The sequence below is a fragment of the Homo sapiens genome, chromosome X (genome assembly GCF_000001405.40).
Source record: "Homo sapiens chromosome X, GRCh38.p14 Primary Assembly".
Classification (NCBI taxonomy): Eukaryota; Metazoa; Chordata; class Mammalia; order Primates; family Hominidae; genus Homo; species Homo sapiens.
In genome coordinates, this window is record NC_000023.11 from 129,906,164 (window position 1) to 129,934,122 (window position 27,959).

The window sequence follows — 27,959 nt, forward strand, 5'->3', positions numbered from 1 at the left end:
CCTTCGGCTTCCGTTCTTGGTCCATGTGAGAGAAGCTGGCTGCTGAAATGACTGCGAACCGGCTTGCAGAGAGGTGAAGGGCAACGAGGGGAGGGGGGATTCTGGGTCTCGTTGGGGGCCGGGTTCCCCAGCTTTTGGGAAATGGGAGCCCCCCCTTTAACAGATGGCAGTGGTTCCCCTGAAGAGCTGGCCATTCGTTCCTATTTTCCGCGATCCAGCCTTTAAAGCCCTTTTAATTTAATTTCATTCGCTTACTCCGCTCCTCAGCTGTATAGCCGCATCCCTGTTGGTCCTGATGCTGTTTCTGCCTCCCCAGCTCATTTACTGTGTTTCACATTTTTCGTCACGTGGCCCCTTTTTCTGCCTCTGTCGCGGCCCGATTTAATCCTCTGCGCAGGCAGTGCAGGCGTTATAAACTCCCCGAATCTTGGAAAGCTTTGCTGATTGGAGTCATCCACCACGTTTTGGCTCCTGTGATGTTTTGTGCCCCCCCCACCCCGCCCCCGGAACTAAATGTAGTCCGTTTAGTAATGTTGGCTTTGCAAATACTAATAATATATGCTGTTAGGTAATGGTACATTTTATAATTTGTTTGTGGGTACCAATCTCCTTAGTTAAGCACCTACTTTACTAAGCAAGCCCCAGGGAAAGTGGCTTACCCAGCTGCTTTCGACCTGTTTCTCCATTCCTGGGAACAAGGATCAAGATAACACTTTTGATTAGGCTGCCTATCAATGAGTCAAATATATGGAGGATGCTTAGAAATATTAATCGTGAAACTGCCTTGCCTCCAGGGCTAGCTAGCAACAGCGTCTTTGGCCATATTATTCTAGGGTCTGACATTTTTACAGCTTCCCATAGGTCATAGGAAATGTTGTGCCAATCCCTGAAAAGTGATAGCTCTTTTACATGCAGTTTTGAAGTCAGGCATCACTCTTGGAGGTGATGCCTGACTTCAGTCTAAATTTCACATCTTGACAAGTTTCCAAAGGCATTCACGCTGCTTTATATATCTTCTGAGGGATAGGGCTATTCTGTGCTGAAATTACAATGTTTTCGAGATTGTTTTAATAGATTAGACATTGCTTCAAATAATAATATTTCTTTTTTTAATTTCGACTTTTATTATAATTAAGGGATACATATGCAGGTTTGTTACATGGGTATATTGCATTCACATTTCTCTGTTGCCTCTTTTAACAGCCTTCTGGCTTTGAGCCAACAGGAAGAACTAGCGGATTTGCCAAAAGACTACCTCTTGAGTGAGAGTGAAGATGAGGTGGGTGACAATTGCTAAACTGCCTTCAAAATTAGGGTAGAGAGCACATTCCTGGAATGGAAGGGTGTGACAATGTTCTATGTATTTGTTCAGGTCTCTCAAATAAATTGCAAATGGTTAGTGTTTCATATATAAGATACTGTATCATATTAAGTGCTATGAGGATTTGGAAACTAAGTTACAATCACTACCCTCAAGTTGCATAAGTATAATTTATAAGACCAACCAAAACAGGCCCGGGTGATGGCTCATGCCTGTAATCCCAGCACTTTGGGAGGCCAAGGCGGGCAGATCACAAGGTCAGGAGATTGAGACCATCCTGGCTAACACAGTGAAACCCCGTCTCTACTAAAAATACAAAAAATTAGCCAGGCGTGGTGGCAGGCGCCTGTAGTCCCAGCTACTTGGGAGGCTGAGGCAGGAGAATGGCATGAACCTGGGAGGCGGAGCTTGCAGTGAGCCAAGATAACACCACTGCACTCCATCCTGGGCAACAGAGCGAGACGCCGTCTCAAAAATAAATAAATAAATAACAAGAGATTTTACATGAGACTCAATTTCCATGTTGTCTTTTCCCTCCCCCTCATCCTGATTGTTTTTCCTTTTCTGTGTCTTAGGGGGACAATGATGGAGAGAGAAAGCATCAAAAGCTTCTGGAAGCAATCAGTTCCCTTGATGGAAAGAATAGGTAACGTTCCCGTCAGTTAGGGCAGGTTATATAGTCAATTCCGTGAGATTTCTCTGCAGCTAATATTTATTGAGTGCTTCATGTAAAGACCTTAATACCAGTGCCTAGCATATAGTAAGCATTATATAATTAACTGTTAGCTGTTATTAGTCTTAGTGCTATTATTGTAAGCATTTGCAGTCTTATTCCACACTGAAAATCTTTTAAAGCATTGAGTAGGCATTATTTAACCCCATTAGAGAAATAAATTTACTTACCCCCAAGGTCACCTGGCTCATAAGTTACAGGTTCAGGTGTGTTTGAATCTAAGTCCAATATGTTTTCCACTATGCTTACCTTGTAATAAAGAGAAGAGATGAGGGTTAGACAACCAAGTCCAAGTTAGGAACAGATCTCCTTGCTGCATCATGACAAAACATGACCCTAGAAGAAATACAAGAAACCAAAGCCCTGTTTGAAGAGAGAAGTGTTTGTCTCTCCCAACCCCAAGCCCCCATAAAATTTATTCATTCCTATTATATCGTTTTGCCTAATTTCAGGCGGAAATTGGCTGAGAGGTCTGAGGCTAGTCTGAAGGTGTCAGAGTTCAATGTCAGTTCTGAAGGTAAGTTGAACAAAGGAAGATACCCATGCATGAAACCTGTGGAGTTCCAAGGGCATTGTGTTCACCTCACCCCCCCTAGGAACTGTTTTTGATGTGGTTAATGACTCATACCATAAATACCTGGGAGAGTGGGTGAAGAAGTGTAGTCAGATGCCCTTCAGTTTCTTCCATCTCTCAAAGAAAGCCTAGAAGGCTGTGGTCAAGGTATCCTACAGAGTTTGATGAGATACTTATAGGATAGATGGACATGAATAAAGACAGCTGCCTCTTAGTAACTTAGTCATAATTCATATTTGTACAATTTCATTTTTATTTCAGTTCTCTTAACAATGCTTTGAGTTAGGAGACAGGCAAATATTCTCTTCAGCCAGAGCTCAGAGAGGTCACATTACTTATTCAAGGGCCTTTGCCTAGTACAGTATTTCTCAACCTTTGCTTTTTTATTGCTCCCCTGAGAGGAGCCTTTCAAGCCTTTTTTTTTTTTTTTTTTTTTGAGACAGAGTCTCACTCTATCGCCCAGGCTGGAGTGCAGTGGTGCGATCTTGGCTCACTGCAAACTCCGCCTCCCAGGTTCACGCCATTCTCCTTCCTCAGCCTCCCGAGTATCTGGGACTACAGGTGCCCGCCACCGCGCCTGGCTAGTTTTTTGTATTTTTAGTAGAGACGGGGTTTCACCGTGTTAGCCAGGATGGTCTGGATCTCCTGACCTCGTGATCCACCCGCCGCAGCCTCTCAAAGTGCTGGGATTACAGGCGTGAGCCACCGTGCGCGGCCTCAAGACATTTTTTTCCTCATTGTATCCCTCCCCCTGTGCCCCTTCCCCAGGAAATCAAGTCCTAAGGAATAAGAGTTTGTTGGACAGAGTTGAGCCTTGGAGGGACACAAAACATTGTAATATCTAAGATTTTTTTCATACTCTCCCAGAAAGAACCAATTTTCACCCTGGGGTGGCGGGGTGGTAAAATTGCCCCTGTTCAGAATACATGCTCTAATAAGCGGCAGCCATGGGATTTTATCCTAATACTGAGTCTAGATGCCAAATCTTTTTCACCCTGTTCACAACTTAGGCAGCTAGAATGGGTCTTGCATTTGTAGTAATCACTGGTGTAGCCTCCTAGGGCAAATAACAATGTATTCCAAGCGTACTTATTCAGTGGATATTTATTGTGTTTCTACTAGGTAGCAGTATCAGGAACTGTTGTAGATACCAAGGTTAAAGTAGCGAATAAGATGTGAGCTCATGGGGTTTACATTCTAATGAAGGGAGACAATAAGAGAGGATGATGCAGTAAAGCAACTAAGTGGCTACTTTAGATCGGTTGGTCATGAAAGGCCCCTGAAGAGGCAAAATTGAAGCCGAGATCTGAATGACAAGTCAAGTCAACCATGCAAAGATTGGGGAAAGCATTTCAGGCCAAGGAACAGCTAGCACAAAGGCTCTAAGGTAGAAACATGCACAACATGTTGAAGAATAGGAAAGAGGCCCCTGTGACAAAAGCATTCTAGAGGGTGGGGGTTGATATGAGGTTAGAGAGGCAGATGGGGATTAGATCTCATAGGACCATGTCCTTTAGGTAGATGAGATTCAAAGTATAATGGGGAGTCACTGGAGGATTTTCAGCAGGGTCATGACATGCTGTGGTTTATATTTTCGAAAGATAATTTTGGGCTGGATACAGTGGTTTACACCTGTAATCTCCAGCACTTTGGGAGGCCGAGGTGGGCGGACTGCTTCAGCCCAGCCATTTGAGGCTGGCCTGGGCAACATGGCAAAACCCCATCTCTACAAAAAAAAAATTAAAAAAATTAACCACGCGTGGTGGCACGCGCCTATAGTGCCAGCTACTTGGGAGGATTGCCTGAGCCTGGGAGGCAGAGATGGCACCACTGCTCTCCAGCCTAAGTGACAGAGTGAGACCCTGTCTCAAAACAAACAACAACAACAGCAAAAAGATCACTTTGGCTGTTTTTATTTTTGGCTGTTATGTGAAGAATGAATTGCAATGGGGCAAGAGTAGAAGCACCAGGAGAAAAGCAAATGAGTTTTGAATAAATATTTTCCCCTATCTTCTACCCCCTAACACGTTTGGGGATGAATGTAGAAGAGTGATAGTGTTGGCATGGCTAGAAATAGGCAATTGAAGTAAGAGAATTATTCTTGCTTCTCTGCACATTTGCCATCTACTGGCATTTTCTACTGAGGCTTCTCCCTACATTATATTGAGATCTTGTCTCACTTCTTGGTCTGACCAGAAAGTTTGACCTTTCCACAGGATCAGGAGAAAAGCTGGTCCTTGCAGATCTGCTTGAGCCTGTTAAAACTTCATCTTCTTTGGCCACTGTGAAAAAGCAACTGAGTAGAGTCAAATCAAAGAAGACAGTGGAGTTACCTCTGAACAAAGAAGAGATTGAACGGGTAAGCTACAGAGAAGGTGGTCTATTAAGGGAAAGAAATTGAATTGACAAGGGAAAATAGGGTAATAGAAAGAAGGGAAAGACCTGAAAAATGGGAGAAGGGGGAGTTGTGATTTCCCCACTATGGATAAGATTAAAAATAATCTAGGAGTGCCAGGCGCGGTGGCTCACGTCTGTAATCCCAGCACTTTGGGAGGCTGAGGTAGGCGGATCACCTGAGGTCAGGAGTTCGAGACCAGCCTGTCCAACATGGTGAAACCCCGTCTCTACTAAAAATACAAAATTAGCCGGGTGTGGTGTAATCCCAGCTACTTGGGAGGCTGAGGCAGGAGAATCCCTTGAACCAGGACGTGGAGGTTGCAGTGAGCTGAGATTGCACCATTGCTCTCCAGCCTGGGCAACACGAGTGAAACTCCATCTAAATAATAATAATAATCTAGGAGAAATTGCAGTCCTGAGAAGCAAGAGGACTAGCATCCTGATTCTTTCATCCTGATTCTAGCATCCTGATTCTTTCTTGGGCTAAGAAATGTTGCTTCCTAATTTCTTGTTAGTCCTTTGGGTTTGATGCTTTAATCTTGTGGCTCTTTCCGTTTACATGCCTTGCCTGCTTCAGATCCACAGAGAAGTAGCATTCAATAAAACCGCACAAGTCCTCTCCAAATGGGACCCTGTCGTCCTGAAGAACCGGCAGGCAGAGCAGCTGGTTTTTCCCCTGGAGAAAGAGGAGCCAGCCATTGCTCCCATTGAACATGTGCTCAGTGGCTGGAAGGTGAGTACAACAAAATGAAACTGAAAGGTGAGATTTTATAAGTTGGAGATTTCAGAGCCTGCAATTGATTTGATTGGACATGTTAAGCTAAACCCCAGCATAAGTCATTTTAGCTTAGTGCTCAGAAAGAAGGGGTTGCCCATCGTCATTGTCAGTCATGTGATAGCCAGTCACAATAGCTCTGTGATCACTTTTTTTTTTTTTTTCTTGAGACAGGGTCTTGCTCTGTCGCCCAGGCTGGAGTGCAGTGGCACGATCTCAGCTCACTGCAACCTCTGCCTCCTGGGTTCAAGCAATTCTCCTGCCTCAGCCTCCCAAGTAGCTGGGATTACTGGCGTGCACCAACACGCCCAGCTAATTTTTTTTTTTTTGGATTTTTAGTAGAGATGGGGTTTCACCATGTTGGCCAGGCTGATCTCAAACTCCTGACCTCAAATGATCCGCCCACCTCAGTCTCCCAAAAGTTTTGTGATTACGGGCATGAGCCAATGCGCCCGGTCTCTGTGTCACTTTTCATCTGCTTGTAGTATACAGTACTTGCTATTTCCATGTTTTTGTGTTAAACCATGTGATTGCCCGTATAGCAGGAACATAATAATGTTTTCTTTCTTTTACCCCAGTTTTTAAAAAGCATTTAAAGCCACATTCTGATCCTAGGGAAATCAGGAACTCGATAACATTAATGATGCCTTAGTGAGGATATGTGAACAACAGAAGCCAAACTTTGCTTGTACAGGAATACCGCATTAAAATATAATGTGTTGCTGGCAATGACTAGAACTTCAGCAGGTAACTTACTATGACTCTGAGCTGCAGGGCAGGGGTTGATGTTTTAGAGCTGGGTTTCCCAAACACTGACCCCTAACAAAGTTTGTGTCTGAAGCAAAAGGATAATTCTAAGTATGTTTGTTTGGTGGGTGTAATGTTGCCAGTTCTTTTTTATTATGAGGTTATTCTATTTTAATGGTGTTGAAATATCTTTTCTTCTATGAAATGATGGTGGTAGTAAATGATGGGATTGGGGGTGAAATGGTAGTTATGCTCTTGGCAAAATTAGAAGTTGGAAATCCTATGTTGGTCCCTGAAGTCCGGTTTTTAGTCCGAATAACTGCTTTAGAACAGCTAGCCTACTTTTCCAATACACCATTGGTATGGAGTCTATAATGGGCTGATTAGTCTTAAATAGATGCCCTCTTTGTGCTTCTCCTCTTTACTTTCCAAAAACCCAAGAATGGTAGTTTCTTAGGCGTTGGGAAGTTGAGCTAATTAAAGCTAATCAAAGTAAACATTGCTTGCCACAATAGCTAGAAATTGAGCGAGTAGTTGCTTATTATGGGGATAAGCTGTTTCTGATGTTTTTGCTGAAGTCACTACCATTCTCTTTCTAGGAGGCTTCCTTTTCTACATGAAAAAGAGATCAGGTTTAAAGTGTGGCTGCAGGATGAAGGGAGACTTTAGAAAAAAAAAATCAGAGGTAATACAATTTGTAGGATTCAAAAATAAAAAAGCATAGAAGATATGTAGTGAAAAGTTTGATTCCACCCGTGCCCCATCTGATCATTTTTACCCCCATACTCACCCAGAAGTAACCACTTGCATAAGTTTGCTGTTGTTGTTGTCTTAGAGTTTTATTTCTATATTCATGTTTACCTCCTTTTTAAATAAAAAGAAGGGTAGCATGCTACTACACACTGTCCTCCACCTTGCTTTTTCCAAATGACAGTGTAATCTTGGAGATAGCAGGAAAATGCCAAGTTTGTTATTAAAAACGAGATGGGGCCGGGTGTGGTGGCTCACGCCTGTAATCCCAGCACTTTGGGAGGCCGAGGCAGGTGGATCACCTGAGGTCAGGAGTTTGAGACCATCCTGGCCAACATGGCGAAACCCCATCTCTACTAAAAATACAAAAATTAGCGGGGCATGGTGGTGTGTGCCTGTAATCCCAGCTACTAGGGGGGCTGAGGCAGGAGGATCACTTGAACCTGGGAGGCGGAGGTTGCAGTGAGCCGAGATTGTGCCACTGCACTCCAGCCTGTGCAATAGAATGAGACTCTGTCTCAAAATATATATATAAATAAATAAAAAATAAAAACTAGATGGTAGTGGAGGAGGTTACACTAAGAATAGAACAACCTCTTCAAGATAGAGTGAGGCTCAGATGTCATACATTGAATATACCATGCCGTTCATTCATTCTAAGACTGACTTTTGAGAAATTATGCTAGTAGGGCACAGAGAAATAAGGAAGTGCTTAGTTCAGAGGGTGCTTTGTGGCTAGCAACTCCTAGGTCTCTCCTTACAACTTAGATTGCAAAGTACCAACAACTAGTATATGCTGTATTAGGATTTCTAGAAACTGAATATCAAGTCTCAGACCAGGCACGGTGGCTCACGCCTATAATCCAAGCACTTTGGGAGGCTGAGGCAGGTGGATCACCTGAGGTCAGGAGTTCAAGACCAGCCTGGCCAACATGGTGAAACCTCGTCTTTACTAAAAATATGTAAATTAGCCGGGCATGGTAGCACATGCCTGTAGTCTCAGCTGCTGAGGAGGCTGAGGCAGGGGAATTTCTTGAATCCAGGAGGCAGAAGGTACAGTGAGCCGAGATCACGCCACTGCACTCCAGCCTGAGGAAAAAAAAAAACCCTCTACTCTTTCCCCGCCCTCCCCCAAAAAAAAGAAAAGAAAATCGAAAGTCTGTACTATAGTTTTGGTCCAGCTCCCTAAAATTTTGTTTAGCTGCAAATAATTAAGTGGGATAATGCATGAGAAGGCATTTGTAAACTGCAAAGTGCTAGAAATGCTGTGAGGTAACTTCTTTCACCCCTCTCCTCACTATTCTCTGTCTACAGTGGTATTTCCCAAGGCATTCTCCTTGAAACCTTAGTCTCTCATTATGCCTTCACAAGAGGAGGAGAGGAGGCATTGCTAGAAAATGCTGCATGCCCCTACTGGAGATCGGAGAGTCACAACATGCTTTAGCATTTTAAAGTCTATGAAACAGGCCAGACGGATGTGGTGGCTCACGCCTGTAATCCCAGCACTTTGGAAGGCTAAGGCGGGTGGATCACCTGAGGTTAGGAGTTTGAGACCAGCCTGACCAACGTGGCAAAACATCGTCTCTACTAAAAAATATTAAAAAATTAGCTGGACGTGGTGGCTTATGCCTGTAATCCCAGCTACTCAAGAGGCTGAGGCACCAGAATCGCTTGAACCCAGGAGGCGGAGGTTGCAGTAAGCCAAGGTTGGGCCACTGTACTCCAACCTGGGCAACAGAGTGAGACTCTGTCTCAAAAATAAAAAATAAAAATAAAGGCTATGGGCCGGGCGTGGTGGCTCACGCCTGTAATCCCAGCACTTTGGGAGGCTGAGGTGGGTGGATCACAAGGTCAGGAGATCGAGACCATCCTGGCTAACACGGTGAAACCCCGTCTCTACTAAAAATATAAAAAATTAGCTGGGCACGGTGGCGGGCGCCTATAGTCCCAGCTACTTGGGAGGCTGAGGCAGGAGAATGGCATGAACCTGGGAGGCGGAGCTTGCAGTGAACCAAGATCGTGCCACTGCACTCCAGCCTGGGCGACAGAGCGAGACTCTGTCTCAAAAAAAAAAAAAAAAAAAGGCTATGAAACAATGGTGAAGACACCTGTTGGATCTAATTTAACTTAGGGTGTACAAACTGATTTTATTAAAATTTCAAAAAAATTGAATTTTAAGCTTTTAACAGGGGAGGCAAATCTTGTTATCTGATGAGAAATGTGTTTGGGGAAGAGCTGGTCTGTCTCCACTGCTGCCTCCTCTCTCTCACCTTCTTCCCCTACTGCCCTACTGAAACTTCTCTCAAAAGGCATTAGTGAGGGGCCTCCGAATTGCCAAATCCCAAGCCCTCTTAGTCTTTAGCATATTTGACACCATTGGCACATTTCATTCTAAAAATCTCTCCCCTCTAGCTTCTGTGATATACTCTGGGTATTTTCTCTCTCTGGCTTTCCTTAGTCCTTTTTATTCTTGCTCTGTAAATTCCATGACTTTTTTTTTTTTTTTTTTTTGAGACGGAGTCTTGCTCTGTCGCCCAGGCTGGAGTGCAGTGGTGCAATCTCGGCTCACTGCAAGCTCCACCTCCCGGGTTCACGCCATTCTCCTGCCTCAGCCTCCCAAGTAGCTGGGACTACAGGTGCCCGCCACCACGCCCAGCTAATTTTTTGTATTTTTTAGTAGAGACGGGGTTTCACCGTGTTAGCCAGGATGGTCTCGATCTCCTGACCTCGTGATCCGCCCACCTCGGCCTCCCAGAATGCTGGGATTACAGGAGTGAAAATTTCATAACTTTCGACTATCACTCTCAACCCCTTCTTTGAAGCTCCAGTCTCATATTCCATGTGACTAGCAGGGATCACCTGGGTCCCCCATATGCACCTTAAACTTAGTCCAGTCCAAAGTAAGCTTCGCATTTCCTTTCCCCAGACTTCCAAAACCTATACCACCCCCTTCATTCTGCAACTCAGTTAACAGCATAACTCCCTACCCCAGTCACTTAGGTTGGAAACCTCAGTCATTTGATTCCTTCTTGACCCCTTCACTGTCTCCCTCTCCGCCAGCTTATACAGGGGGCTAGACCTGCAAATTCTGTCTCTGTAATAGCCCTTATGCTCCTATTTTCTCTTCATTTTCATTTTCACTGCCCTAATCGAGGCCCTCATTGAACCTTTCCTTTGGAACTTTACATATATCCTCTACACAATCAGCAGGATTTTCTTGCTGAAACACAGTTGATCATTGCTCTCCTGCTTAAAATCCTTCAAAGGCTGTTCACTTACAGAATAAAATAAAATTACGTAGCATTTTAGCTATGCTGGACAACACGTTGTTCTATTACATACCACTCCTTTCCCTGTGTCTGTGTTTTTTGCTTATGCTCATCTGTTTGGATTTTTTTTCCTCCTGACAGAATTGTACTTAGGCCTCAAAGCCTAATTCAAAAGGTCACTTCCTTCCCTAAGCCTAACCTACCTCCCAATAATATTTAATGGTAATTTCCTCTGTGATTACCCCTATAGAATAACGTAGCAGTTATGTTATTTAAGGGTAACATAAAGGGTATTTAACCCATTATGTTATGCTGTTTGTGTTGTATATGTCTCTGCTCTCAAAGGCTGTGAGCTCTATGAGGACAGGAACTATCTTAATCAATTGTGTATTCCTAGCACCCCATACAAGTGCCTGGAATATAGCTACAATCAATAAATGTTTGTAAATTGAATTGAATTGAAGGGACATTACAACATTGTAGTATAAATCACTTTGTAGCCTGAGATTGATCACTACTGCAAATACTAAAAGTGGAAGAACATATACCTTTACTATTCAGTAGAATAGTTTTATGGTTAAATCAATAGCATCGTGTAACATGTGATGATGTGCGTTTATGCATTTATCCAAATATTTGTAAGTTTAATACTGACCACGATGTATATGGCTATTGAAGAAAACCACACATAATATGTGTGTGAGGTTTGAAACTAGCTCTGTTGCCTAGGGCTGTCTTTGTGCCTTGCCAGAATGTGGACCGTGGCATGATCGGCCTGAATATTTAGCCATCCTCATGATAGCATGTGGAATAACTGGTTTACAGTTCATTCGTTTCATACATACTCTGCCTAGCATGTAAAATTAACTGGAAACTGAGGAATTGGAGCCAAAGTTAGAAAATGAGGAGAGTTCAACTTGAACCATCAGGAAACAGGCTGATTACATGAAGGTCTTTTTGTTTGTTTGTTTTTAACATAATAAATAGAGATGGGGTTTCACCATGTTGCCCAGGCTGGTCTCAAACTTGTGGGCTCAAGCAATCCTCCTGCCTCAGCCTCCCGAAGTGCTGGGATTACAGGCCTGAGCCACCATGCCCATCCTATATTTTTTTTCAGGCAATATCCTTTTGTGCTCAAGAAATTAAGACACACACCCCACCACAAACTACATTTGAAGACTCTGCCAAAAAAATGCCATGTTTTTTCTCATTTTCTTTCATCAGTAATTAATGATACCAAGAACACTTATATGCATGGTTTATAGCAGTTGGCTATGGTCAAAAAAAGTTGGGCTTCCCCTCTGAGACATTTGCAGATATATGTCCTAGGTATACCATCAGTGGCAAATAATGCTTATCTTAAGATCTAATCTCACAGGGCATGCTGGGCTCACGCCTGTAATCCCAGCACTTTGGGAGGCCAAGGCAGGAGGATGGCTTGAGGCCAGGAGTTTAAGACCAACCTGGGCAACATGGCAGGACCCTGTCTCTACAAAAAATAAAAAAAGTTAGCCAGGCATGGTGGCTTACACTTGTGGTCCCAGCTGCGCAGGAGGCTGAGGCAGAAGGATCACTTGAGCACTAGAGGTGGAGGTTGCAGTGAGCTGAGATTGGAGTGCCAGTGGACTCCAGCCTGGGTGACAGAGCAAGACTCTGTCTCAGAAAACAAAAAAAAAAAAAAAAAAAACTAACCGCCCCTTCCCTCTAGAAATATTCTAAAAGAAGGCTTATGATATGAATTTGAGATTCCTAACTATAAAGTAATAGTTATGTGCTTCAAATGATACATAACAATACAGGGACTCAAGGGCAATGTGCCTAGATTCTTAAGAGAATGGAAATCAGTTTAACATATATTGGTAATCTGGGCCGGCGCGGTGGCTCACGCCTGTAATCCCAGCACTTTGGGAGGCCGAGGCGGGCGGATCACGAGGTCAGGAGATCGAGACCATCCCGGCTAACACGGTGAAACCCTGTCTCTACTAAAAATACAAAAAATTAGCTGGGCGTGGTGGCAGGCATCTGTAGTCCCAGCTACTCGGGAGGCTGGGGCAGGAGAATGGCGTGAACTCAGGAGGCGGAGCTTGCAGTGAGCCGAGATCACGCCACTGCACTTCAGCCTGGGCGACAGAGCAAGACTCCATCTCAAAGAAAAAAGAAAAAAAAAAACATATATTGGTAACCTGAACACAGTGATCCCCCTCAGCAGTATTAGAGAGTAGCCTCAGCGTCTCCCTGCTGAAGTTGTCTTATATAAGAATCAAATAAGGCTTTATTTATACTTCTGACAACAAGACTGGAACCCCCTTCTCTTGCTGTAACAGCCAATCCTATCCACTTATGATTCCAATTATAGTGTCATAAGTTAGAGAATCATAGGAATGTAAAGAGAGAAAGCTGTAAGAGCATGGCTTAAGACTCAGAATGTTTTGTTGCTTCTTTAAGGCAAGAACTCCCCTGGAGCAGGAAATTTTCAACCTCCTCCATAAGAACAAGCAGCCAGTGACAGACCCTTTACTGACCCCTGTGGAAAAGGCCTCTCTCCGAGCCATGAGCCTAGAAGAGGTAAGTGTGTCATAGGCCCTTCAGCACACCCAGGCATGCCACGCTTCTCCTAGCATTTGTCCTCTGGCCCAGGTGTCACTGTAAGTCTCATTTGTTGTAGGCAAAGATGCGACGAGCAGAGCTTCAGAGGGCTCGGGCTCTGCAGTCCTACTATGAGGCCAAGGCTCGAAGAGAGAAGAAAATCAAAAGTAAAAAGTAAGGAGGCCCCTGTGAACTGGCCTTGGGTTCCACAGAAGAAAGTCATGTGGTTCATCATGAATTCTTTGGAGAGAACCTTTGATGCAGCAACTAGAGTCATGCAGATGAGGTCCCAAACAGGAGTGACTAGCCTTTTGTTCCCCCCAAACCAACCTCATACAGTTTTGCCAAAAAGATGACTATTCAGTTACTTTCTCTGCCTTCCAAGGCATCACAGAGTGGTTCTGCAGAATCAGCTCTGAATTCCAGAGCTGTTAAGGCCAATAGGGCTTCCTTCCTGCCTTTTTGCCTCTTTGAAACTTGTTCGGCCGGGTGTGGTGGCTATGCTTGTAATCCCAGCACTTTGGGAGGCCGAGGTGGATGGACCACTTGAGCTCAGGAGTTCAAGACCAGCCTGGGCAACATGGCAAAACTGGCTGGGCACGGTGGCTCACACCTGTAATCCCAGCACTTTGGGAGGCTCAGGCAGGTGGATCACTTGAGGTAAGGAATTCAAGACCAGCCTGGCCAACATGGCGAAACCCCATCTCTACTAAAAGTACAAAAATTAGCCAGGCATGGTAATGTGCACCTATAGTCCCAGCTACTTAGGAGGCTGAGGCGGGAGGATCGCTTGAGCCCAGCGGGTGGAGGCTGCAGTGAGCCAAGATCATGTCACTGCACTCCAGCCTGAGTGACAGAGTGAGACCCTGTCTAAAAAAAAAAATGAAACTTGTTCTACCCCTCCCTTGAGTTATAGAGGCAAAGGAGACTCTTTGAGCTGCAGAGGTCCACCCTGAGGACTGTGGGTACCAAGAATCTTGCCAGTCCTGTCAGGTCCCAAACTGACTCCCTATAGCCAACTAGCTCTATGATGCCCATTCCAGCCCCCTGCCTAGGGAACCCATTGGGTAGTATGGGCACTTGTGCCTATGACATCCGTGCTTCAGCTAAATTGCTAAACTCTTCCCTCCTACCCCTACAGGTATCACAAAGTCGTGAAGAAAGGAAAGGCCAAGAAAGCCCTAAAAGAGTTTGAGCAGCTGCGGAAGGTTAATCCAGCTGCAGCACTAGAAGAACTGGAAAAAATTGAAAAGGCCAGAATGATGGTGAGACTACCTCTTGCCCCACCCCCACCCCTTTGAACCAGCTTTCCTTGGAAGGCACTAAAGATGTAAATCTCACTCTGTCCTTTCTTTCTAGGAAAGAATGAGCCTTAAGCACCAAAACAGTGGGAAATGGGCCAAGTCAAAGGCAATTATGGCCAAATATGACCTGGAGGTAAGAGACCCTTGGGGTGAGAGAAGATCTGGAATTGGAGGATGCTAGCAGAAGCAGAGTTGGGGAAGAGCCATGAGGATGGATGGAAAACCAGGAATCTAAAAAGGCATCAGAAAAATCTCTAAGGCAGAAAGGAAAATGACCAGGAACAAGGTGGAAAAGGAGAGATGAAAGGGAAACAGCATTGAAGGCAAGTCCAAAGGGGGAGAGGAGCTTTTTAAAATCTTATTTCACCGTTGATTCCTTGAGGACAAAGAATTTGTCTTCCATTTTATACCATAGCTATTAACCCAGCATTGTATATGCAGTTTAAACAGTAGGTACCAGTAAGAAATACTCACCAAGTCAAATTGAGAGGAGGCAGCTTTATGAAATGGACCAGGAAAGGTGTTATTGCGGTCACTAATGACAGGGCTCTCATGCTGTGACTCTTTCCTCCAGGCTCGCCAAGCTATGCAGGAACAGTTGTCTAAGAACAAAGAACTGACACAGAAACTCCAGGTAGCCTCTGAGAGTGAGGAAGAGGAGGGAGGCACAGAAGATGTGGAAGAACTCCTTGTCCCTGATGTAGTGAATGAAGTGCAGATGAATGCAGATGGGCCGAATCCCTGGATGCTCAGGAGCTGCACCAGTGACACCAAAGAGGCTGCAACCCAGGAGGACCCTGAGCAACTGCCAGAGCTTGAGGCCCATGGAGTTTCTGAAAGTGAGGGAGAAGAAAGACCAGTGGCAGAAGAAGAAATTTTGTTGAGAGAATTTGAGGAAAGGCGATCCCTTAGAAAAAGATCTGAGCTCAGCCAAGATGCTGAGCCAGCAGGCAGTCAAGAAACAAAAGGTGAGCTGTGATCAAATGGAAGAGGGAAATTCCTAGTGCTGTGGACAGACTATGGGAGAAAAAAAAAATGTGTCCACCCACACACAAAACTGCATAGTGATTAGGCGCTGGGGACTTGCAAGAGTGCGTACACTGGATCCCTGAAGAGAAATTAGATTCATAACTATTTTTCTTCGAAGACATTTAATAAGCAGTCATCTGCATGGCCGTGCAACGTGGTTCAGGCACATTTTCTGTTCTTGGGGGCTTACAGCCTTCAGAAACCCATAATAACTAAACCATACTCGAAGTCAGGGTATGAGTTAGCGTTCCTGGTACCTACACACCAGGGAGAAGTACGTATGGTAGAATGGCAAATCTGAAAGTCCATTCACACCTGTAGACACAGATAGGTCAATTTTGAGACATTAGGAAACATTGTCTAGTTGCTGGATTTTTTTGTTTTGTTGGTTAAGTAGGAGTGGCATTTTTAGCACTTCTTAATGCTAGTTGATGTGTGTATACATGGGGTGAGACTTTACGGAATGAATGACTCCACAGGGCCACATGGCAAATTAGAATTGTGACTCCATACTCAGGCTCTATTTGTATGTTATATTTTCTACCTGTTATCTTGAAGAGATCTTATTGACAATGTTAGCACCTGTGAGATTGGTCAGAGAGTTCCCATTCTGGCAATAAACCAGGACACTAAAAAACCTGCCTAGGAAACTAGCTACATTGAGAAATCACTTGGCTATCTGGACAAATTACCAGGTCTGGTTTGGTTTCACATAGGAATGCATTTAGATGATGGCAAAAATCTGGTTTTACACGGCAAAAGAATTATTTTTTTCTACTTTTTTTTGTTTAAGAGACAGGGTTTTGCTCTGTCATCCAGGCTGGAATACAGCAGTGCAATCATACCTTACTGCAGCCTAAGACCTCCCAGGCTCAAGCGATCCTCTTGGCTCAGCCTCCCAACTAGCTGGGACTACATGCACGTGCCACCATGCTGAGCTAAGTTTTTGTAGAGACTGAGGTCTTGCTCTGTTGCCCAGGCTGGTCTTGAATTCCTGGCCTCAAGCTATCCTCTCACCTCAGCCTCCCAAAGTGTTAGGATTACAAGTGTGAGCCACCGCACCCAGCCTCCTTTTTTTTTTCCTTTTTTTTTTTCAGGTTTCCACATACAAAAATTTATTTTAAAAGAGCTATCATTTAGAATATATTATAGGGACCTTTACTTAATAGTTTTGGCTGGATATTTTTGGGATTAATAATTGCAAGTAGTCACTTCTGAGAGAATTTTGGAAAGCAGCACAGCGGGCTGAGATTGTGGGGGTGTACATATATGACCACAGGACCCTAGTGGCTTTCTCTTGAGCCCCCTCAACAACTGGCCATCTAGCTAAATGTGCAGAGCGGCTGACTGTGATATGAAAGAATGAAAGATAGATTTGCATTTCCTTGGACAGTAAATAAATTGAATTTTCTCACACCTTCCAAGAGTGTCCTAAAATACTGGAAAGCCACGGACCCCAGTGAAAATGAGCAAGGAAACCTGATTCTTGAGAAATAAACGTACATGTGTCCAAAGGCCAGATCTAAGGAGCTACAATGGCTTCATGCCAAAGCTAGACAGCAGGATCAACTTGGGAATGGAGGCAACTTGAGTCAATGAAAAAGACAGTTTAGAAGCATGTCACTGCCAGGTTTCCCTCCAGACTGTTTTGAGACAGGTCTCTGTCATACAGGCTGGAGTGCAGTGGTGCAACCTCGGCTCACTGCAAGCTCCACCTCCCAGGTTCAAGCAATCCTCCTGCCTCAGCCTGCAAGTAGCTGGGATTACAGGCATATGCCACCACGCCCAGCTAATTTTTGTATTTTTAGTAGAGACAGGGTTTTGCCATGTTGGTCAGGCTGGTCTCAAACTCCTGGCTTCAAGTGAATCACCCATTTCGGCCTCCCAGAGTGCTGGGATTACAGGTGTGAGCCACTGTGCCAAGCCAGCCCCTCCAGACTCTTGAGACTAGTGTTATTTGCTCAGATGTTGCCAGTGAAAGTGTGAGCTACATCCACTGGATAAAGCAGCTACTTCATCCCTTGACTCAGCCACAGCAGATTATGAAATACTGCTTTAAGATATGGAGTAGAAATTCTTGAGTCAAGATGAAAATCCTGGATAGGGTTTTTACAAGCAGTGAAGCATAAATTACAATGAAGTTACATTGAGAAGCCACCTGTTAAAGTGGCTTCCTTTTTTAAAATTTGGAACTTGGGGCAATCTTCCCAAGCAGGGTTTACTGCACGAGGAACTTAAGCCACAGTCCCAGTTATACAGTGGATCATTGGCAAAGCTGGGAATAGGACCCAGGACGTCTGCTTCCAATATGCTACTTTTTTTTTTTTTTTGAGACGTCTTGCCCTGTTGCCCAGGCTAGTATGCAGTGGCACAGTCACAGCTTCCTGCAGCCTTGACCTTCTGGCTCCAGCAATCCTCCCAGCTTAGCCTCCCAAGTAGGTGGGACTACAGATCCACACCGCCATGCCTGGAAATTTTTTGTTGTTGTTGGAGGGGTGGAGGTGGTAGAGATGAGTTCTCACTATGTTGTTCAGGCTGGTCTCGAACTCCTGGGCTCAAGCTATCCTGCCCCCTTGGCCTCCCAAAGTGCTGGCATACAGGCGTGAGCCACCATATCCAACATCTCACATGCTACTTTTTTTTTTTTTTTTTTTTTGAGACGGAGTCTCGCTCTGTCACCTAGGCTGGAGTGCAGTGGCACAATCTCGGCTCACTGCAACCTCTGCCTCCCTGGTTCAAGTGATTCTCCTGCCTCAGCCTCCTGAGTAGCTGGACTACAGGCACATGCCACCATGCCCAGCTAATTTTTTGTATTTTTAGTAGAGATGGGGTTTCACCGTGTTAGCCAGGATGGTCTCGATCTCCTGACCTCATGATCTGCCCGCCTCGGCCTCCCAAAGTGCTGGGATTACAGGTGTGAGCCACCGCACCTGGCCACATGCTACTTTTAATTACCAAACTCCGTTGCCTGCTATGATTAGTGTACTGTCTAGGAGATTCAATGTACAGAATCTTCTTTTCCCCGTTTGTCCTTTTTATAATGTCTTATGTGGTACCTAGCACTTGGTGGGTGCTCAACAAATGCTTACCGACCAGACAACGTACAAACCTCATTTTCTGACAGTTTTCATTCTTTTTTCCCCCAGATTCTGGCAGCCAGGAGGTGCTGTCTGAATTGAGAGTACTATCTCAGAAATTGAAGGAAAACCATCAGTCCAGGAAGCAAAAAGCAAGTTCAGAGGGGACTATTCCCCAGGTCCAGAGAGAGGAACCTGCCCCAGAAGAAGAGGAGCCCCTGTTGCTACAGAGACCAGAGAGAGTACAGACGCTGGAAGAGCTAGAAGAGCTGGGAAAAGAAGAATGTTTTCAAAATAAGGAGCTTCCCAGACCTGTGTTAGAAGGGCAGCAGTCAGAGAGGACCCCAAATAATCGCCCTGATGCCCCTAAGGAGAAGAAAAAGAAGGAGCAAATGATCGACCTACAGAACCTCCTAACCACACAATCTCCCTCCGTGAAGTCTTTGGCAGTTCCCACAATAGAGGAGCTGGTGAGCAGAGCCAGGGTGGTGGGCCATTGTTCAGAAAGTGTCGTTCTTGCGCAAGGAGTAATGAAGCTTTGTTTTGCTGGGGGCACATTTCAGTAGTTTAGAGGTCCAGAATAGTATAGGGCCAGGCTAGTCCCAGTGACGTTTTAATAGATGCAGATATATGGGTGCTGCCAAGACCCCTATTTCCGAAAGCCTGATCCACAAAAACTCCTCTGGGGTGACTCTAAAACTGCTCTCAGAGGTAAGAGGGAGTAACTCAGAGTTCTGACCAGATCCCAGGCAGGACAACTTGAAGGTGAGTCATTGAACTGTTGCGAAAGTTTTATTCAGTGGGATCTCAGATGGTCTAAGACTCCCCAGTTAATCTGAAACTTAAAGTGAAGCGTCCTGGCACCTGTCTTTTCAGGGATATAAGCTGGAGGAAGCCTACAGTCTGGCCACTTAGAGCTCCTGCTGCTAACACGGGCCATTCCTTCCTCCACCCTGCAGCTTCCTTACTGAAAAGTTTAAAATTGTGTCATATGATAATGAGCTAGGGATATTTACCCTAGAGGGAAGAAAATTTGAGCATGATTGGCTGTGCACTGGTTTGTATCGCAAGACCATCATTGTTCAGCACTTCCCCCTAGGGGGCGCTAAAATGTCACGACCCGAAATTCAAGCGTTCTCGCCATGAACCACAGCTCATAAGCCAAGCTGTAGCTCTCGCTTGTTTCTTCCCAGGAAGATGAAGAGGAGAGAAACCATAGGCAGATGATAAAGGAAGCTTTTGCTGGGGATGATGTCATCAGAGATTTCTTGAAAGAGAAGAGGGAAGCTGTGGAGGCGAGTAAGCCAAAGGACGTGGACCTGACACTACCTGGCTGGGGCGAGTGGGGTGGTGTGGGCCTAAAGCCCAGTGCCAAGAAAAGACGCCGGTAAGAATGCCGAAGAAAGTCTGTCAAAAGGGCACCGGGTTCTCCCCTCGCCCTTCGGTGTCCTCCCTACCCTTTTGACTAAGTCCTTAATGCTCCTAGTCAGATGTCCTGTTGTTTTGCTTTCCAGGTTTCTCATTAAAGCCCCTGAGGGTCCTCCAAGAAAAGATAAGAATTTGCCAAATGTGATTATCAATGAGAAGCGCAACATCCACGCAGCTGCTCATCAGGTGAGAGCTTAGAGAGCTCTTTAGCTGCCTGCTTGTTACTGCCTGGCTCTCTTGCTTGAGAGGAGTATTCTAGTGATCTGTAGTCAAGAGAGACGTGTGATCTTGACCGCAGAATCAAATCTGTTGTTTTCACTGAATGGCTGTTAGATTTATCATTTCAGATAGACTACGCTGTTTTAATTACTGGCCAGGAAAAAAGTTTAGAGTCAAGGTAATGCTCAAACAGAGGCTATAAGGTTTAAGCTGTAGCTTAAGAAAAATGAAGACAAACCGGTACTTGTTCAGGAGAATGAGAAGATTGTAAGTTGTGTCACATGATAATGAGCTAGGGATGTTTACAAGAGAAGAAAATTTGAGCGTGATTACGGTGTTCAAGTATATCGAAGGTTATTGTATGAAGTCACATAAAGTAGAAGTTAGAGGACATACAGAATTCAAGGCTGCTCTGGGAGTATGAGAATGTGTAAAGGGGACTCAAGAACGAGATTGGACTAGATGACCTTTATGTTCCCTTCAATTCTGAGATCTGTCCCCAGCCAGTATATTGAAATGAGTTACATTTTTCCCTCGGAAGGAATAAAGAATTAATGGCTACAGAACAGAGGTAAGAAGATACACATTTCAATAACATTCTTTTTGATCTTATTTTGTGAACCAATCACTGCAGAAACTGAATCATAACTACTGCAGTCCCAATTAAACCTATATAACTAGAAAATAGGCAGTTACACGATAAGGGAAGGGGGGAAAGGGTGCTTCAGTGGGCCAGGATTCCAGGTGATGGGTAGAGTATGGAGCTCAATAAAGACCACCCTTCCCTTCCAGGGGTCTGTTTGTTTTTTTAATACAGTCATGGCAAACTGACAAATAGTTTTCTAGGAATCTCCCCTGATTTTCATCTTTTTAATAAGTTACTGCAGGTTCCAACATGCAGTAGAATAAAGTGCTTCAAGGTGCCTAGGGGGGACTTCTGAGACTGAATACTTTGTCCAGGTGTTCTCTTTTTCTGTTGCCCTGGTTGACAAGCACAGATGTAGCCGTCAACCCAAATAAGACATTCCCTTAACTTAAAGAGAATCTGTTTCCTTTGCTACTACCAGGACCACCTGATAGTACTTAGCTTCTCTTGAGTATTCCACTGAATGTTTCCAGAGACTACTGATTTTTGTTTGTTTGTTTTGTTTTCAGATGGAGTCTCACTCTGTCACCCAGGCTGGAATGCAGTGGCACGATCCCAGCTCACTGCAACCTCCACCTCCCAAGTTCAAGCTATTCTCGTGTCTCAGCCTCCTGAGTAGCTGGGATTACAGGCATGCGCCACCACACCCAGCTTATTTTTGTATTATTAGCAGAGACAGGGTTTCACCATGTTGGCCAGGCTGGTCTTGAACTCCTGACCTCAAGTGATCTGCCTGCCTCGGTCTCCCAAAGTGCTGGGATTACAGGTGTGAGCCACCGTACCCTGCCAAAGACTACTGATTTTTACATCCCCATTTTCTGCTTACGTGTTTTCCTCCTTTGGCCACTGGGGAAGTGTTGAAAGATTATTTAATGTCTGAAGGTAGCAATGTGGTGGAGGAGTACCAGGCAAGGAAACAGGAGCTTTGGGTTCTGTTCTCCAATGCTGCTCCTCATTTACTTAGGTCCATCACTTCCCCCCTCTAAGCCAAATCTTCAGGCCAAGGGAGATGACCATTGTCAATATCTAGGGCCTTCCAGCTCTACATTCTGTGGTGCCAAAAGAAGATGAAGCTAAGTGGGCCGGGCATGGTGGTTCACACCTGTAATCCCAGCACTTTGGGAGGCCAAGGCGGGTGGATCACAAGGTCAGGAGATCGAGACCATCCTAACACAGTGAAACCCCATCTCTACTAAAAAAAAAAATACAAAAAAAAATTAGCCAGGCATGGTGGCAGGCCCCTGTAGTCCCAGCTACTAGGGAGGCTGAGGCAGGAGAATGGTGTGAACCTGGGAGGCGGAGCTTGCAGTGAGCCGAGATCACGCCACTGCACTCCAGCCTGGGAGACAGAGCGAGACTCCATCTCAAAAAAAAAAAAAAAAAAAAAAAAAAGATGAAACTAAGTGTAACGGCCTGGTAGAGTTCAGGATTCGGGTTCCTTAAAACATCAATCCTGGCCAGGCGCGGTGGCTCACGCCTGTAATCCCAGCACTTTGGGAGGCTGAGGCGGGTGGATCACGAGGTCAGGAGATCAAGACATCCTGGCTAACACGGTGAAACCCCGTCTCTACTAAAAATACAAAAAATTAGCCGGGCGTGGTGGTGGGCACCTGTAGTCCCAGCTACTCGGGAGGCTGAGGCAGGAGAATGGCGTGAACCCAGGAGGCAGAGCTTGCAGTGAGCGGAGATCGTGCCACTGCACTCCAGCCTGGGCGACAGAGCGAGACTCCGTCTCAAAAAACAAAAAAAAAATATCAATCCTAAGAGAGGGAAGGAGGAGACTGAAAGCATAAAGAGGGTAGAAAAGTCATAAAATCCACAGGGATACACAATGGTCTGGATTCTTGCAGTCACAGTGTTACATAGGAAAGCTCACTCTGGGACAACAGCCCTGGAGCTCCTGTAGCTAGATAGGGACAGTGTCACTTGTAATCCCAGCTACTTGGTAGGCAGAGGTTGCAGTGAGCAGAGATCACCCCACTGCACTCCAGCCTGGGCCACAGAGTGAGACTCTGTCTCAAAAAAAAGAAAAACAAAGATGGGCAGTGTCAGGGTGGTTTTTCAGACCCTGAATTGTTGAATAGATGGGGGATCCAGAGCCAACTCAGGCCCCCCTACTCCCAAATGTCATCAAACAGATTGAATTCCTAAGGGCAGATGGGAGCAATGGGACGCCTTGACCTCTCAGTCTCTTCACTTGCAGTCATCATGTGGAACCGTGGCCTGTACCAAAACAGTACCTGATGAAAGCTGCCATTACAGTATACAACTGCACCCCAGGCCTGCCTCATACCAAATCATTCTCCTTCCTTTCCAGGTACGAGTGCTTCCATATCCATTTACCCACCATTGGCAATTTGAAAGGACCATCCAGACCCCCATAGGATCCACATGGAACACCCAGAGGGCTTTCCAAAAGCTGACTACTCCCAAGGTCGTCACCAAGCCAGGCCATATCATTAACCCCATAAAAGCAGAAGACGTGGGCTACCGGTCTTCCTCAAGGTCGGACCTGTCTGTCATACAGAGGAATCCAAAACGAATCACCACACGTCACAAAAAACAGCTGAAGAAATGCTCTGTAGATTGAGTTGCTGGAGGAGTGACAGCCAGGAGCCCTGACTTCACTTCCTTTGGTCCAGTTTTACTCTGATACAGGGTGGATTCCAAAACTGGCTCAGTACATTGCATGTAGTTAAGCCACATTTTAAAAATAAAGGCATTTTTTAATCTATTTACCTGGAGTATATGTTGCATTGTCCCCCAGTGGGATCATTTCGTTCAAGTCAGACACCTTTGGACTCTACAGCATTGCATTTCTCGAGTTGCACTTGTCAGGGCCACCTCCTTTTCTTACCAAGGATTATGTAGTTGGTCCTAAATCGAAATGGAGAAAGTTAACTGTAGTCTGTAACCTTAAATATATCACATCAGATATGATCCACCATTAATAACTGCCAACTTGAAGAGACAGGGTTAATAATGATAAAATATTGTATATTTTAACCTCTGAACCTAGAAAGAGGATGTACAAACTGCAATTGGATTCTGCCCTAGACTGATCCTAAGACCAGGACGGTGCCGAAGCTGGGTTCTGTCCCCACAAGTCTAGCCACAGCCATTTTTTTCACATGTGTGAGCTTCCCAGCTTGTACAGGCTGCTGTCTACAATATCTCATATATAACCTTCTACTTATTTTCTCATAAGAAGACCAGGAGGTTTGACCCTTATTTTGTAGATAAAGGTAGATGTGATTTCAGAAGTAAACCTCTATTGCCTTTCCTTCCTAACTCAGGGCCCACTCCTCACCATTGATTGAAAGTGTAGTTTATTCAAGCATTGCTTTGCTATATGACAGTTCACATGGGCTTCTCAGCTCTGAGGAACTTGGCCTGGCTTTGGATGGCAAGAAATATACGGAAAGAGCCCCTGCAGCTGAGTTTCCTAACAAGGAATTTGGGAAACCCCTCTGATTCCAAAATGACACCACTACTGCACCTTGCCTCCTACCTTGGAGATTCAGTCCTATCCCCAGTATTCTTAGACCACAGTGGGTTCATTTTTGTGTCACAGGCCCCTCTAAAAATATGTTGAACGTTATGAACCGTCTCCAGAAAAATGTGCACACACACACATTTGTATGGCATTTTACATACAGTTTCAGGGGTTTTCAAGACATTTGGAATCCCTGGGCCAAAAGCTGTACCACTCCAAGTTTTCTTTTGCAATCCCCCCAACAGATACGGCCTTCTGAGCACACCACTCTCCAAATCAGTTCCAAAACGTTTAGACCTCAATGGTAGCTAGTCCCAGTTATCTTTATAAGAGAAAATTTTCAGAATAGAGCGTGCATCTAGTGTTACACATTAAACTGAAGTGAAAAGCCAAAGGATAAATTTATATGAATTCCCCAGTGGGGTCCCCTGTGGCCCCCTACTATTGCTCATCCTCTTAAGAAACAACCTGGGACTGGGAAGGTAAGGGAAATGAGTATGTTGAGCAGTGTTCAGTGCCCAAAAGGCATGCTTAAGTATCCATTGGCTTGAGATTATCCACGATCCACTCGCTGGTTGACACTTAAGTCAGTAGCCAGTGGTAGGGGATGCGGGAGCCCTGCCCACTCCTGCCTCCGTTTAAGAGACCACAACATTCTCTTGCACTCTTTTGAGCACAAAGCTGCTACCTCCGTCCCACCCACCCCCCAAATTGAGGCGCCCAATCAAGTGTCCCCGGTAAATGGCCAATCCCCGTCTACTTTCCCCGGACCCTCTTCAGCTCCGTTTGCTCCCCACTACCCAGGAGTGATGCAAGCCACCCCATCCTTCAAAGGAGAAGGCAGGTGCCAGAGCGTGCTATAAACGACGCCCATTCCCAGCCTTCCAAGCCCCCAAACAGATTCGATTGTTGTTTCGTGGGGCTTTTTTTTCTTTTCTTCCTCCGAACCTCCGAAGTGTTCTCCCTTCCCATTGGCCGAAGCTGCCCCTTGACGCCACCCTGGCCTTGCTCGCTGATTGGTCCACTCTGGATGTGCCCAAGCCTTTTTCCCAGGGTGTGGCGCCCCCCCGCCCCCAACAGGGTTCTGACCCCTGGCTCCTCCCTTCCCCCCAAGCCCCCCTCTCTGTTCCGAATGGTTCCGCCCTGGCTCGGCTCCCCCACGGCCCAGGCCGCTGCCCTTAGGGCCCCCGGACGGGGCGGGGCACGCTGGGGACGGGCAGAGGGCGGTGGTGGCGCCTTCCTGCCGAGTCCGAGGCCGCCCCCGCCACCCTTCTCTAATCCTTGTAGGTCCCACTTTCCCCTGGGCAGTTCTCCTCCTGCATCGGTAGCCCCGTCCCGTCTGTGCAGCCCCCACCGTGGTCTTTGGGTCATCTCGAAGAGCTGCGTTAAATCCCTGCCCTCAGCGCTGCACACACGCCCATCCGCCTCCACCCTCGGGTCCCCGCACCACCCCCTTTTCCCGTGTCGGCTCCCCCTTCCCCTCCCGAGACCGCGGAAGCTCCGACCCCCTTCCCTCGCTGACTGTCCATCCCCAGGACCCCCGTCCCTGTGTGTGGCCAGTCCCAGCGGCCTCTCCTTCGCGGCCTCCCTTCGCCTTCGTGGCCAGCGTGGTGGAGCACTCCCGCCCCCCTTTTCTCCGTACCCCCGCGCTCCCTTATGTTGTCCCTTCTTGTCCCTCTCTAAGTCCCTCCCACACTATGCCCCCCCGCGGTACACACACACCCCTCCCCGCGAGGCGTCCCCCGGCGCCCCTCCCCTACCCCCGCTCGTCTATGCCCCTCCCACCCACCCCGTCCTTTTGTCTCCTCTTTGGTCTCTAAGTCCCCCGCCCCTCCCTCGCTCCCGCCCTCACTCCCCCGAGCACGCTCTTATCTTCCCCAGGTCCCAGCGCCCCGCCCCGCGGCCGCGCCCCGCGGCCCCCTCCCTTCCGCGGCCCCGTCTCCGCCCTCCGCGCTCCGCCCTCCCCCCCGCGGCTCCTGCCCGCCAGCCCGGCCGGCCTCCGGTTCCCGGGTCGCTCCTCCTGCGGCAGCCGCCGCTCCCCGACCCACCCTTCCCGGGCCGGCGGCTCGCGTTCCCGCGCGGTCTCCCCACACACGCACTCCCGCCGCCCCGCTCCGCTCGCTCGCTCGCCGAGGCCCTGCAGCGGCCCGGCCCAGCGCAGCGCGCAGCCCGCAGCCCGTCCTCGGGGAGCCTCGGCGCCCCGTGGCCGCAGGCACCTCGCGGACAGGCGGGCTGGCGGCCCGGGAGCGCGAACCCGAGCCGGGCTGGGTGTCCCTCGCCCAGCCTGGCCCTCGGAAGCCTCGCGGGGCGCAGGGGCCCGTCGGAAATGTTTGGGGGACGGGCCGGCCGCGGTTCCTCCCGCAGCCCAGGCCGGGCCGGCGCGTCCCGGGGAGTCGCCGCGACCTTATCTCCGAGGATGACTTGATCCGGAGCCTCCTCCCGGCTCCCGCCCCAAACCTGTGCCACCAACGCGCGAAGCGCAGCTGAGACTCGCGGCTGGCGGGAGGAGGGCGGGGGACTGTCCTGAAAATGCCCAAGCCGTGAGGGATCCTAAGCCGACCGTCAGACCCGGAGAGGCGAGGTCTAGTGACACGTCCCTGCCACCCAGGGAAAGAGGGCGAGCCCACGCCAAGCGCCACGGATCCCTGCCTCTCCGCCCAGGGTTCTCCCCACTACGCATTGCAGAGCCCTTGGATAGACCTCGCCGGACCCAGAGTGAGGGACGTGGCTCAAGTCGACAGAACACCCAGCCACCCACCCACATGCCAATAGACACTTTTAAAAAGTCTGATCGGGTCGGGCTCGGTGGCTCACGCCTGTACTCCCAACACTTTGGGAGGTCGAGGTGGGCGGGTCACGGGAGGTCAGGAGTTCGAGACCACCCTGACCAACATGGCGAAACCCCATCTCTACTAAAAATACAAAAATTAGCCGGGCGTGGTGGTGGGCGCCTGTAGTCCCAGCTACTCGGGAGGCTGAGGCATGAGAATCGCTTGAACCCAGGAGGTGTAGGTTCCAGTGAGCCAAAATCGCGCCACTGCACTCCAGCCTGGGCAACAGAGTGAGACTCTGTCTCAAAAAAAAAAAAAAAAAAAAAGAATAAAAAGTCTTCGATGATGCCCAAGTTGACCGTGTTTCCTCGCCCGAACCTCTTCTCCCAAGCCCTCACTCAGTCTTACCTACTTACCCACCAGACTGGAAGCTCTTTGAAGGGGTTCCTGTTTGTTGCAGTGGCTCACTCAATGGATCCCTTGTGATTGGTGGACAAGTGGATGTATTTGTTAACTGCTCGCCTTTGGGATCTGTGTCATTGTGTGACTTAAGGTTGTAAACTCGGGAGGGCCAGGACCGGGTGGGGATTACTAGCTCGTGCCAGGCACAGCATGATACCCAAAGGGATGGGCCATCAATGCTTTTTGAGACTGATGTAACTAATTATGCAGGAGGCAGATGCCTACCTCTTGGTCCCCAGAACTGCCAGTTCCAGGGCTAAGTCTGAGTGAGGAAGAAACGAAGGAGCTGTCTTAGCTCATCCCTAATGGGAGGCCGACTCGCTGGGACTAGATATGGCTGCAGTCACCACACGAACACACCGGGTGACGTGACTT

The 27,959-nt window shown here is 47.0% G+C and overlaps 1 protein-coding gene and 1 long non-coding RNA gene across 5 annotated transcripts, besides 7 other annotated features; one reads left to right on the forward strand and one right to left on the reverse strand.

Annotated features, from left to right (window-relative positions):
* On the forward strand, positions 1–23,589 carry UTP14A (UTP14A small subunit processome component). 4 transcript variants are annotated; one of them, NM_006649.4, is made up of 15 exons: positions 1–73; positions 1,204–1,279; positions 1,897–1,967; positions 2,507–2,571; positions 4,845–4,987; positions 5,603–5,758; positions 13,012–13,131; positions 13,232–13,326; positions 14,294–14,417; positions 14,512–14,589; positions 15,031–15,424; positions 18,632–19,032; positions 19,756–19,949; positions 20,077–20,176; positions 23,173–23,589. In NM_006649.4, the coding sequence occupies exons 1-15, from the start codon at positions 48–50 to the stop codon at positions 23,443–23,445; spliced, it is 2,316 nt and encodes a 771-aa protein (NP_006640.2). In that variant the 5' UTR covers positions 1–47; the 3' UTR covers positions 23,446–23,589. The 4 variants fall into 4 exon arrangements, with proteins under 4 accessions (NP_006640.2, NP_001159693.1, XP_047297746.1 ...); NM_001166221.2 differs by lacking the exon at positions 5,603–5,758; XM_047441790.1 differs by lacking the exons at positions 1–73; positions 1,204–1,279; positions 1,897–1,967; ... (1 more) ...; positions 4,845–4,987; positions 5,603–5,758 and adding exons at positions 6,416–6,547; positions 7,147–7,232.
* LOC105373335 (uncharacterized) lies at positions 1,101–27,610 on the reverse strand. The gene is made up of 3 exons (NR_188631.1): positions 27,531–27,610; positions 23,595–23,732; positions 1,101–2,390 (listed from the first exon to the last, which is right to left on the reverse strand). It is a non-coding gene; the product is annotated as an uncharacterized LOC105373335 (long non-coding RNA).
* Positions 19,571–19,620: a silencer, noted in NCBI's record as "silent region_20979". NCBI's record gives its function as "represses an Ori minimal core promoter by ATAC-STARR-seq in GM12878 lymphoblastoid cells {active_cell/tissue: GM12878}" and the evidence as "EXISTENCE:reporter gene assay evidence [ECO:0000049][PMID:35858748]".
* Positions 25,080–25,199: an enhancer, noted in NCBI's record as "active region_29931". NCBI's record gives its function as "activates an Ori minimal core promoter by ATAC-STARR-seq in GM12878 lymphoblastoid cells {active_cell/tissue: GM12878}" and the evidence as "EXISTENCE:reporter gene assay evidence [ECO:0000049][PMID:35858748]".
* Positions 25,440–25,679: a silencer, noted in NCBI's record as "silent region_20980". NCBI's record gives its function as "represses an Ori minimal core promoter by ATAC-STARR-seq in GM12878 lymphoblastoid cells {active_cell/tissue: GM12878}" and the evidence as "EXISTENCE:reporter gene assay evidence [ECO:0000049][PMID:35858748]".
* Positions 25,750–25,839: a silencer, noted in NCBI's record as "silent region_20981". NCBI's record gives its function as "represses an Ori minimal core promoter by ATAC-STARR-seq in GM12878 lymphoblastoid cells {active_cell/tissue: GM12878}" and the evidence as "EXISTENCE:reporter gene assay evidence [ECO:0000049][PMID:35858748]".
* Positions 25,920–25,999: a silencer, noted in NCBI's record as "silent region_20982". NCBI's record gives its function as "represses an Ori minimal core promoter by ATAC-STARR-seq in GM12878 lymphoblastoid cells {active_cell/tissue: GM12878}" and the evidence as "EXISTENCE:reporter gene assay evidence [ECO:0000049][PMID:35858748]".
* Positions 26,010–26,169: a silencer, noted in NCBI's record as "silent region_20983". NCBI's record gives its function as "represses an Ori minimal core promoter by ATAC-STARR-seq in GM12878 lymphoblastoid cells {active_cell/tissue: GM12878}" and the evidence as "EXISTENCE:reporter gene assay evidence [ECO:0000049][PMID:35858748]".
* Positions 26,200–26,669: a silencer, noted in NCBI's record as "silent region_20984". NCBI's record gives its function as "represses an Ori minimal core promoter by ATAC-STARR-seq in GM12878 lymphoblastoid cells {active_cell/tissue: GM12878}" and the evidence as "EXISTENCE:reporter gene assay evidence [ECO:0000049][PMID:35858748]".
* Positions 27,611–27,959: the final 349 nt, after the last annotated feature.

Bases quoted from the DNA above. Each gene is read 5' to 3' on its own strand.
- UTP14A (NM_006649.4), top strand. From the start codon at position 48: ATGACTGCGAACCGGCTTGCAGAGAG. The intron at 1,280-1,896 runs GTGGGTGACAAT...TCTGTGTCTTAG, and splicing joins TGAGTGAGAGTGAAGATGAG to GGGGACAATGATGGAGAGAG. The intron at 4,988-5,602 runs GTAAGCTACAGA...TGCCTGCTTCAG, and splicing joins ACAAAGAAGAGATTGAACGG to ATCCACAGAGAAGTAGCATT.